The 12,225-nt window shown below is 44.8% G+C and overlaps 1 protein-coding gene across 5 annotated transcripts in view, besides 1 other annotated feature; it reads right to left on the bottom strand.

The window, feature by feature from the left end:
- Positions 1–12,225, bottom strand: part of RMND1 (required for meiotic nuclear division 1 homolog) — a 47,365-nt gene that overhangs the window by 34,989 nt on the left and 151 nt on the right. For 3 of the 5 annotated variants that reach the window (XM_047418959.1, NM_017909.4, XM_047418960.1), the window contains exon 2: positions 5,558–6,075. The exons of the other annotated variants lie outside the window; for them this stretch is intronic. In XM_047418959.1, the coding sequence (XP_047274915.1) occupies positions 5,558–6,061 (504 nt within the window). In that variant the 5' untranslated portion in view covers positions 6,062–6,075. The remainder of the gene's footprint in view (positions 1–5,557; positions 6,076–12,225) is intronic. 5 annotated transcript variants of the gene reach the window in all.
- Positions 12,104–12,153: an enhancer, noted in NCBI's record as "active region_25282". NCBI's record gives its function as "activates an Ori minimal core promoter by ATAC-STARR-seq in GM12878 lymphoblastoid cells {active_cell/tissue: GM12878}" and the evidence as "EXISTENCE:reporter gene assay evidence [ECO:0000049][PMID:35858748]".

Raw genomic sequence — 12,225 nt, forward strand, 5'->3', positions numbered from 1 at the left:
CCCGGTTCAAGCGATTCTCCTGCCGCAGCCTCTCGAGTTGCTGGGATCACAGGCATGCGCCACCACGCCCAGCTAATTTTTGTATTTTTAGTAGAGACGGGGTTTCTCCATGTTGGTCAGGCTGGCCTCAAACTCCCGACCTCATCTGATCCTCCCGCCTCGGCCTCCCACAGTGCTGGGATTACAGGCATCAGTGACCGCACCCGGCCTATTTATTATTTTTTGAGACGGAGTCTTCCTCTGTCGCCCAGGCGTGAGGGCAGTGGTGCGATCTCAGCTCACTGCAACCTCTACCCCCTGGATTCAAGTGATTATCCCGCCTCAACCTCCCGAGTAGCTAGGATTACAGGCATGCACCACCACACCTGGCTAATTTTTGTATTTTTAGTAGAGACGGTGTTTCTTCATGTTGGCCAGGCTGGTCTCAAACTCCTGACCTCTGGTAATCTGCCCACCTCGGCCTCAAGTGCTGGGATTACAGGCGTGAGCCACCATGCCCAGCCAGGCACTATTATTTTAAATCAAGGTAAAAGGTCAGTTTTAAAAACCGCCACTTGGAGATAAAAATAAAAGGCTCAATATATTCAGAACTGAGTTTTGGGCAATCTGGTATCCCAAATTATGTGAATATTCCGACACTAACGGCAAATTGAGAATGTGTACTATTTTCAACTCTCAAGGACAGGACAAGTCAATCACTATTTTTATGAGAAAATATATTCTAAGCTCCAAATAAATTATGAATAAATCTTTAAACACAATCTGTTTTCACTTGGCCATCCTAAGGATCTTTGTTGTAGGTTTTCCAGACTGTCAACTGTCCCCTTTCCTTCTCTTGGGATCTCCCATTTAGTTTGGCTCAAAGTTCTATCCAATGTCACTCAGCTTATATGGTTTGCTACACTACTTTCTGTATTCTCCTTAAACTTCTTAGCTCTGAGTCTTAGTTGTGGGTTTCTTCTATTAATAGATGAACTTGACGTTTTAGACACTTTGTTTTGGTTTTGTTTTCTTTGCTTTTTTTATTTTAGCCTATTTGGTAAAAGGAAAGAGAATCATGGAATGTCTTGTCTGCTTTTTTTTCTTTATTAAAGATGCTGTTGTTTTCTGAGCAGCTTTCATTTTTATACATCCTTTTCTGGATTTTTACAGTGAATCCTTATTAAGCATTAGCTACATATATATGTAAAGCATATTTTGGGTTTCAGGATGGGGATCTACACCTTCCTGTTAAATAGATGTGTCAAACCAACCGATAATAGTTATGATATTCAGGGCTTTTCTACTTCAAAATGTTTTAAAAAACCCAAAAAGCAAAAACCCCAAACCACTGTATTTTAGTATGTTTTGTTTTTCTGGCCAAAGAAGACATGTTCCAGCAGATGGGGCTAGAAATCTACATATGATTCTTGTTTTAGGAGCATCGCATGCTCTGATCAGAACATTTTTTTAAAAATTATACTTTCATTTACACTGTATTACTGAAGAAAATTAGTGTGTTACAGCAATGTTGCTTCTATAGTGATATAATACATTTACATTTGGTCTTTGTCCTTGGTTCCCAGTACAGACTCCTAAAAACCCCTGTAATTTTCTAAGTGACAGGGGCATTTTTGGTTGTAGTATTTGCTCTTTGCCTTCAGTTACTAACACAGAGCTTCTAAAAATCCCTTGGAATTTCACGAGTGATGGGAACATCTTTTGTTTTAATGAGGTGACTCTCAGTGGGTCCTGGACAGCTTCAGGATGGGGGGTGGTTACCAGAAAGACCAAACTTTGATTAGAAGCTTAGAACTTTCAGCCTCACCCTTAACTTCTGGTGGACGGAGAGGGGCTGGAGATTGAGTTAATCATTAATCATGGCTTACACAATGAAACCTCCATTAAAAACACCCAGATGATGGGGTCTGGAGAACTCCTGGGTTGATCAATGCATCCATGTGCCAGGAGGGTGGCACAGCCCAGTTCTATGAGGAACAGAAGCTCCTAAGTTCCAGGCCCTTCTTGACTTCACTCTGTGCACCTCTACATCTGGTTGTTCATTTGCATACTTTATATAAAAAACCCAGTAAACATAAATAAAATGATTCCCTGAGTTCTGTGGGCCATTCTAGCAAATAATCAAACCTGAAGAGGGGATGGTTGTCATAGAGCTGGTTGGTCAGAAGCACAGGTGTCAACTGGGAGGGCAGTCTTGTGGGGCTGAGCTTAACTAACTGGCGTCTGCACTAACTCTGGCTAGTGCTGGAATTGAACTGAATTGCAGGACACCTTGTTAGTGTCTGGAGAATTGGAGAACTGGCTGGTAGGAGGAGGAAGAGGTCCCCATATATTTGATGTCAGAAGTACTGTGAGTAGATAGATCATACTAAGGAAAAATGCCTTTTCTCCTGTAACATACTGATTGGAGATTAAAGCTATAAAAACACAGATACATTTTACGTTACCAAGATCACGCTTTATCCTGTAAGTTTTTCTGACTACAACCTATAAATCATTAAACATAGTACATATACACATATATGCTTACACACCAATTGCCACAAAAGCTTCACAAACCAGTATTTACGTTTATCATGAGCAATGTATTCTGTTATTTTCTATTCTATTTCATTTTTCAAAAAAATGGTTAACAGTCCACCAGTGATTCTGTAACACAGTGCTATTAGCCTGAAAACATTCTCCCTGGTGTCGGGCTCCATGCCACTCAGACCTGCCGTTCCCATCCTCTGCTGTTCTCTTCAAAGACTGGACATTAACAAGAAGCACTGCTATTATTGTTTTCTTGTTTGTTTAGTGACAGGGCCTCACTCTGTCGCCCAGGCTGGACGGAGCGAGGTGCAGTCACGACTCACTGCAGCCTGGAACCCTGGAGCTCAAGCGATCCTCCCACCTCAGCCTCTTGAGTAGCTAGGACTACAGCTGCGCACCAGCAAGCCCGGCTTTTTTTTTTTTTTTTTTCCAAGTCTTTTAGAAATGGGAGTCTTGCTATGTTGCCAGGCTGGTCTTCAACTCCTGGCCTCAAGTGGTCTTTCTGTGTCAGCCTCCCAAAGCACTGAAATTATAGGCATAAGCCACTGGATCCACTATTGCTTTTAGGAATTGTAAGCCAAAGGGATGTGGGTTGAGTATCTCAGATTATGATCTCTGAAAATGAGACCAGGTAAAGATTTAATTCCAACAGACAGGGTGACTGAAACCTCATTCAGCCAACTCCAGATGCACGCTGTTCTGCAGAGCTGAAAAGATGAGCTGGGTGCAACTATGGGAACAAAATAAAGTCCACATGCTTTCTGACACAAAGCAGAGTCTTTTCCTTGTCTCAGTCAAGAATGGTATAAAGGGTTTACCATTTTGATGGTATAAAGTGGTATAAAGGGTTTACCACTATGATGGCCGTATAAAAATGGAGTGGCCCTCAATTTCGGGCAGAGGAAAGTCAGTCTTTGGTCCTGGGGACATATTACCTAGTCATGCCAAGACTGCTTTCTCTATGAAAAGTAAAATCTTCAAAAAATGATGTTCCAAAATTACATTATCTCAGACCACTTTAGAAACATGATTTTCTTCTCTTTTTTTGAGACAGAGTCTCACTCTGTCACCCAGGCTGGAGTGCAGTGGCATGATCTCAGCTCACTGCAACCTCCACCTCCCGAGTTCAAGAGATTCTCCTGCCTCAGCCTCCCGAGCCGCTGGGATTACAGGTGTGCACCACTACGCCTGGCTAATTTTTGTATATTTGTAGAGACAGGGTTTCACCATATTGGCTAGGCTGGTCTCGAACTCCTGACCTCAAGTAATCGCCTGCCTGGGCCTCCCAAAGTGTTGGGATTACAGCTGTGAGCCACCGCCCAGCCAGAAACATCTGATTTTCTATTATTTCCCTGTGCTTTCAGAAAGACAGCATGCGACTTGCTCTTGCCAAACTCCAACTGAAGTCATTGTCTATCATGTTACATAATGTCTCCTATAACAGAATCCATGAAATAACTAACTCCTTAATTTCAGTGCTGGAAAAAGTTATTTCTCTGAAGATATTTTTATGTTTTTACTCTGCCCTCTCCCACAACAATAAACAACAAACACTAAATCCCAGGAGGAGTTCCTCTTTTAATTACTGCGCTTCTCAAAACAAAATGTTCAACTAGATTATTCATTTCAGGTACTTCATAACATTTCTCTGTTCATGTCAACTATTTGCTCTAATATGTGAAAGTATTTATTATCTCATTTGAAACTATGTTGAATGTTGAAAATCTACTTCAAATTCTTTCCTGGAAGGAAGTAGAAAAAAAAATCTAAAGAAAAATAGATACGGTATTTAGGAAAATTGCTTCCAAGTCTAAGGATGGCCCAAAGAAATAGCCTAGGGACATCTCTGACCTATCAGCTTCTTCCTAAGAAACCTGATGCACTGTGCTGCTAGACGTTACAAATGAACAAAGTGAGTTGAGCTTTCTCTTTTTTGGAGCTGCCATGAATTCAGGTTTTTACACTTAATGCCATCTCGGACACTTAAATACTGAATTTCCCAGGTTACCCCAAAGCTCCAGCAAAAGGAAAGGGGAAACAGTAGCTGCACAACACTTCATCCTTCACGTCCTGAGTTCAGAGTAACCACACAAGAATTGAAAGCATTCCAGAATCCAACACAAAAACCATTCATTCATTGCTAGATTCAGAATCAGAGGATGAGTAAAGGTATGTATGTATACCTTTCCAAGGGGTGTCAGCTGCACAGTAATAAAAACACAGCCAAAATGAAACAGGCTCAGGGGCTACTTTTCAGAATCAAGACTTGAAGACAGACATTCTAACCTGTTTTCTGATAGATTCAGAAGTCTTCATCAAGTTTAAAATATCTTTAAAGTTGATGACTATCGGCATTAAAGATCCTCTTATAAACATTTAAGTACAAGGTACAGTTCTAGGTATTATGCAAGATACAAAGGTTATCAAGGGCTTGATCTTGACCCTTAAGTTGTTACTGAAGGAGAAATGCAAATTGTAGCAGAAAAATTCCCAGAAACCCCTTAAGGATGAATAAAAAATACCCCCTTAAACCTTAAGAGGATAAAAAAGCTGGGCCCTCCTCTCCTGCTGCTTTTGGAGTCCACCCTACCGTGTCATTTCACCGCCCCATGCAACTGCCACAGCCTAATAAAGGCTTATCTGTCTGCAGAGTTACAATTTTTTTTAACTTGATGAAGAATTTCTAGTTTGTTTTTTTTTATTTTATTTTTTTTTACAGTCCCATTCTTAGACTGGACTTAATATTGGTCCTCTTTTTCAGTTTCCTTAGACCAATAACCAAATCTTTTATAAACTCTATTTTCATGTGTTATCACCTGTATTTTGTTTTTATATGTATCATTAATTGTTAAAAATTAAGATTCTGAATCCCTTTGGATATTTATTAGGCTTCAAAGACCTTGATGAAGAAGTCTGAGTGACTGCTAGTTCTCTTACGTTGGCGGTAAGGCTGGGGTGCAACGCACACTGGTTTAGCATGAGCAATGATCACTAAGCACGAGAGCCACGGCCACCCCTACTTTACCTCGTTCACAGACAGAACTGGAAGGTTGGTCCTGGATGGCTGTCTGGTCCTGGATGCTTTTAGTGGTCTCTTCACCTGTGGGAAGTCTTGTTTTGGAACAAATGTTTCCGTTGATACAGATGAGAAATGCCTCTTTAATATTTTTATAAACCATTTAGAACCCAACAGATTTGGTTTGTGGGTCACTCTCCTGTGAGTACCAAAGGATTTCATGGTTGGAAGGTGTGCCTTTTCATCTTGGCAACGAGCAGCATTTAATGGAGACAGCATGCTGGTATCTGACTTTTTTTGGTTCATTTCCAGGATCTGAGACTTATTCAAACCACTAGCTGTTTTATCAGGAAGGAACAAATCCAAGCTTTGACGTATTGTCAGTGTGCTGCATGTTGTATTTTCAAATTCCTTAAGTGGTTTTAACATTAGATGACCGATTCTTCGGCACTGATGTGCTTTTGATAATATATGATGAGATCTGGCCACGGCTCTGAGGAGTGTGGCTGGCATTACCACATCCCAAGCTAAAAGAAAAGGAATTCAAAGTTCAAGTTTTTAAATTAATGTTTAAAACATATATAATATTTCCCTAGGTAGCAGGCATATTTCTGTTAGAAAAATTTGTAAAACAGATACATTCTAAGTTAATTCTAGTAAAAGAACAAGGTTAAAAATATAAGTACAGTGTTTCTGCCACTTTGCCTTTAGCAACATTTGGCCTTCTTCCTGGAAGATTACAAGATTATAAAGCTACTGACATAACAAGAACCTTAAAAAAAATAGTGATGGGACCACTTCATTTACTTCATTAGCATATCAAGTATATAAAAATCTGTGCTGGCCAGGCACTGTAGCTCACACTTGTAATCCCAGCACACTGGGAGGCTGAGGCAGGTGGATCGCTTGAGTCCAAGAGTTCCAGACCAGCTGAGGCAACATGGTGAAACCTCATCTCTACAAAAATGACAAAAATTTAAAAATTAGCTGGGTGTGATGGCAGCTCATGCCTGTAGTCCCAGCTACTCACAGGCTGAGGTGGGAGGATCACTTGAGCCCAGAAGACTGAGGCTGCAGTGAGTCATGATTGTACCACTGCATTCCAGCCCTTTTTCTGTCTCAGGAAAAAAAAAAAAAAAATCAGGAAAGGTTCCCAGAAAGATCTAAGCTGATTCTAGAAGGCGAAGGTGCTTTTCAGCTTGGGGCTGGGCATGGGAGTGCGAGGCATGTCAGATACACACATGAACATTCCAGACAAGGTAAACAGAATTTCCCCCTTATTTACAGTATGAAATGTGTTATTTTAAAGTTAGCCTATAGTAGGCCACACATGGTGGCTCACGCCTGTAATCCCAGCACTCTGGGAGGCTAAAGGCTGGGGGGATCACTTGAGGCCAGGAGTTCAAAACCAGCCTGGCCAACATGGCAAAACCCCATCTCTACTAAAAATACAAAAAAAAATTAGCCAAGCATAGTGGCTTTAATCCCAGCTACTCAGGTGGCTGAGATATAGAATCGTTCAAACCAGGGAGGGAGAGGTTGCAGTGAGCCAGGATTGCCCCACTGCACTCCAGCCTGGGCGACAGAATGAGACTCTGTCTCAAAAAAAAAAAAAAGTTAGACCGTAGTAATCAATAATTCTTTTTTTAAAAATAATATGTTAGGTGCTAGAGATAGATGAATCAATGATCTCAGAATTCAAAGTCTAGCAGAGGAAAATGAACGAGATGCACAAATTGCTCTAGTCCAGAGAAAGGAGCATGTGAAGAGTGTGGCATTGTCACAGAGGTGACATTTGAACTGAGTCTTGAAAGGGCAGAAGGATCAGCAAGTTAAACACCCCAGGCATGGAGTCCTATTCATCTCCCCATCTCGGGGAGGTAGGAGTGAGCTGCAGGAGGTAAGGACCAAAAGAGCCGATGGCCAGATCACCAAAGGATATATAAAGTCATCCTAAAAAGTTTCTACAGGTGGGGAGAAAGCTGAGCTTTTAACTCAGAGTCACACGGTCAAATGCATGTTCATGAAACAAATTTTTGGTGATGATATGTAGGAGGAAACAAGACAGACTCTGACATCACTCTGAGCGCTTTCTACATGCTAAGTGCTCGGCTTCACCTCATAATGATCCCATTTCACTGATTAGGAAACTGAGGTTTAAAGAGGCTAAGTGCTCACCGTTAAGAAGCTGCAGAGATGTAACTAAAATAAAACCCAGGCTTTCCCAATTCCAAAGTCAACACTCTTACCCACTACCTTGTATTTACTACCTCTCTTCAGGATAAGGACAAAGATGATTCACAGTGATATTTAGGAGGTAGAACCTGCTGCTTCCAAAATCCCTTCAAAAGCTCGCATTCTGTGCTTCATTCTAGTCCAATTGGCTACTGTAGTTCACCTTTAATTAGTACTATGCCATGCCAGTTGAACCACTTAATTTTGAAGAAACTATAAAATATTTTAGAAGTTTGTCTACAGTCCTGGATTCTTTTTATTCTCTTTGAGTAAATTCTTTTTTTTTTTTTTTTTTTTGAGATGGGAGTCTCGCTCTGTCACTCAGGCTGGAGTGCAGTGGTGCCACCTCAGCTCACTGCAACCTCCGCCTCCCCGGTTCAAGCGATTCTCCTGCCTCAGCCTCCCGAGTAGCTGGGATTACAGGTGTCTGCCACCATGCCTAGTTAATTTTTTTGTATTTTTAGTAGAGACGGGGTTTCATTATGTTGGCCAGGCTGGTCTTGAAATCCTGACCTCAGGTGATCCACCTGCCTTGGCCTCCTAAAGTGTTGGGATTACAGGCGTGAGCCACCGGACCCAGCCCATTTTTATCACTGCACCTTCTAGAAAGCCTAAGATTACATTTGTGCCTTACACTGTTTTTCTATCAGACAGGGCCCTATTGTCATTATCAATACATCGGACCTCCTCATCTCAGTTTCATCCATTTTACTCTCTAAGCACCACCTCCTATCTTTGCATCTCACTCCTTCTATTACCCAATTCCAATAATTCTTCAACCCCAACAGGACCCACAAGTCAATGATCCAACCACCTTTTCACTGTCTCTCACTCCCCATGACTTCACTTCCTCCATATCCAGTTTACACTCCATGGTCTACCATTCTAACCTCTCCCTTATACCCCTAGAATCCCTTGCATCCCTTTCTTCCCAGTCTTTCCCATTCATGAGCAGTAATAAGTATCTTTATAACTGCTAAGCCAAAAACGTGGGGTCCAGCTTGACTCTTTATTCTCCATATCCAACTTCTCAGTAAATCCCAAGGGCCTTCTAGGGACCACTGCTCATCATCAGTAATAATACTACCTGATCCAAACTGCTATCCTTCCCATGGATTATTATAATAGCTTCTTAACCAGTTTTCCTGATTCTGTTTTGGGCCCCCTACAGTTTCTTCTCAACACAGCAACCAAAGTGATCCTTTGAAGTTGAATCTCAACGCGAAATCTAGCTGTGGCTTCACGGTTCACTTAATAAAAGCCAAAGCCCTCCAACCAGGCATGGCGGCTCACGCCTGTAATCTCAGCACTTTGGGAGGGATCACTTGGGGTCAGGAGTTCCAGACCAGCCTGGCCAACACGGCGAAACCCCGTGTCTACTAAAAATACAAAAATCAGCCGGGCATGGTGGCATGGGCCTATAATCCCAGTTACTTGGGAGGCTGAGGCACGAGAATGGCTTGAATCTGGGAGGCGGAGATTGCGCCACTGCACTCCAGAATGAGCAACAAAGCGAGACTCTGTCTCAAAAAAAAAAAAAAAAAAAAAAAAAAAGCCTGGCGCGGTGGCTCACGCCTGTAACCCCAGCATTTTGGGAGGCCGAGGCGGGTGATTCACAAGGTCAGATGTTCGAGGCCAGCCTGGCCAACATGGTGAAACCTCGTCTCTACTAAAAATACAAAAAAATTAGCTGAGCGTGGCGGCGGGTGCCTGTAATCCCAGTTACTCGGGAGGCCAAGGCAGGAGAATCGCCTGAACCCGGGAGGTGGAGGTTGCAGTGAGCCGAGATCGCGCCACTGCACTAAAGTCTGGGCGACAGAGTGAGATTCTGTAACGAAAAAAAAAAAAAAAAGCTAAACCCCTCAGAATGGCCTGCATGGCACTACATTATCTGTCCTTTATCACCACTTTGACAGCACTCTCCTTTGCTTATTTTGCTCCTCATTCTGGTCTCTGGATCTGTGCACTTGCTGTTCCTTACGCTCTTCTCCCAGGGATCTGAAAGGCTCACACCCTCACCTCCTTCAGATGTTTGCTAAAATGTCTTCTACCCAGTGAAGCCTTCCCCAACCACTACATTAAAAACACACAACCAGCCCTCTCCCTCTCCCTCCTCTCCCTCTCCCCACGGTCCCCCTCTCCCCACGGTCTCCCTCTGATGCCGAGCCGAAGCTGGACTGTACTGCTGCCATCTCGGCTCACTGCAACCTCCCTGCCTGATTCTCCTGCCTCAGCCTGCCGAGTGCCTGCGATTACAGGCGCATGCCGCCACGCCTGACTGGTTTTCGTACTTTTTTGGTGGAGACGGGGTTTCGCTGTGTTGGCCGGGCTGGTCTGCAGCTCCTAACCGCGAGTGATCTGCCAGCCTCGGCCTCCCGAGGTGCCGGGTTTGCAGACGGAGTCTGGTTCACTCAGTGCTCAATGGTGCACAGGCTGGAGTGCAGTGGCGTGATCGAGGCTCGCTACAACCTCCACCTCCCAGCCGCCTGCCTTGGCCTCCCAAAGTGCCGAGATTGCAGCCTCTGCCTGGCCCCCCATCGTCTGGGACGTGAGGAGCCCCTCTGCCTGGCTGCCCAGTCTGGAAAGTGAGGAGCGTCTCTGCCCGGCCGCCATCCCATCTAGGAAGTGAGGAGCACCTCTTCCCGGCCGCCATCCCATCTAGGAAGTGAGGGGAGTCTCTGCCCGGCCGCCCATCGTCTGAGATGTGGGGAGCACCTCTGCCCCGCCGCCCCGTCTGGGATGTGAGGAGCGCCTCTGCCCGGCCGCCCCATCTGAGAAGTGAGGAGACCCTCCGCCCGGCAGCCACCCCATCCGGGAGGGAGGTGGGGGTCAGCCCCCGCCAGGCCAGCCACCCCATCCGGGAGGGAGGTGGGGGTCAGCCCCCCGCCCGGCCAGCCACCCCGTCTGGGAGGGAGGTGGGGGGGCCAGCCCCCGTCCGGGAGGAAGGTGGGGTGTCAGCCCCCCGCCCGGCCAGCCGCCCCGTCCGGGAGGGAGGTGGGGGGTCAGCCCCCCGCCCGGCCAGCCGCCCCGTCCGGGAGGGAGGTGGGGGGGTCAGCCCCCCGCCCGGCCAGCCGCCCCGTCCGGGAGGTGAGGGGCGCCTCTGCCCGGCCGCCCCTACTGGGATGTGAGGAGCCCCTCTGCCCGGCCACCACCCCGTCTGGGAGGTGTACTCAACAGCTCATTGAGAACGGGACGGGATGACAATGGCGGTTTTGTGTAATAGAAAGGGGGGAAAGGGGGGGAAAAGATTGAGAAATCGGATGGTTGCCGTGTCTGTGTAGAAAGAAGTAGACATGGGAGACTTTTCATTTTGTTCCATACTAAGAAAAATTCTTCTGCCTTGGGATCCTGCTAATCGGTGACCTTACCCCCAACCCTGTGCTCTCTGAAACATGTGCTGTGTCCACTCAGAGTTGAATGGATTAAGGGCGGTGCAAGATGTGCTTTGTTAAACAGATGCTTGAAGGCAGCGTGCTGGTTAAGAGTCATCACCACTCCCTAATCTCAAGTACCCAGGGACACAAACACTGCGGAAGGCCGCAGGGTCCTCTGCCTAGGAAAACCAGAGACCTTTGTGCACTTGTTTATCTGCTGACCTTCCCTCCACTATTGTCCTATGACCCTGCCAAATCCCCCTCTGCGAGAAACACCCAAGAATGATCAATAAAAAAAAAAAAAAAAAAAAACACAACCAGCATCCATTCTCTTATCTTCCTCCACTTTGCATTTCTCCATTGTTTAACATCACTTGCACACCTTTAATTTTTAGTTTATTAATTCATACTGCAAACGAACTCAGTTCTTATCATGTGCCAGGTATTGTCCTAGTTGCTGACAATACAGCTGAAAATAAAATAGACAAAAATCCTATCTTTTGAATCTTTTGAACCTTGCATTGGGAGTGACAGACAAAACGAGGTAAATCAGTAAAATACGTGAGACACAAAGCTAAAGGAAAAAAATAAGAGGAAAGGGCAGATTTTTGTGTCTTCCTTCCAGAATGGAAGCTCCCTGAGGATACGGATTTGTGTTTTTTCCTATTATATCTCCTGACAATAGCGCCCAGCACATAGTAGGCATTCGATCGAATTTTTAAAATGAAATACAAGGCAGTTACTCAGTTCCCGGGCACATTTCAACTTTTAGAGAACAATTACACCAATTAAGAAAATCGATTACAGCTAGGCTACGATTCGAGAGCTAAGTGGCGCTCATCTTTGGGAGTATGCCGTTCAATTCCTCAAACTCAAAATTATTTTATCGATTTCTACAGTTACCGCGGTGCACTGGCTCAAAAAAAGGGTTCATTAATTGAGTGCTTTTTACTCCCAGCTAAGCTGACCAAAGATCACGGTAAGAGGCAAAGGGTCACAGCCGCACTGGCGTAACCCGTAACTGTACACGTTCCGGGCGGCCAGGAGCCAGGGCGCAGACCTCCAAGC

The sequence above is a fragment of the Homo sapiens genome, chromosome 6 (genome assembly GCF_000001405.40).
Source record: "Homo sapiens chromosome 6, GRCh38.p14 Primary Assembly".
NCBI classification, from domain to species: Eukaryota; Metazoa; Chordata; class Mammalia; order Primates; family Hominidae; genus Homo; species Homo sapiens.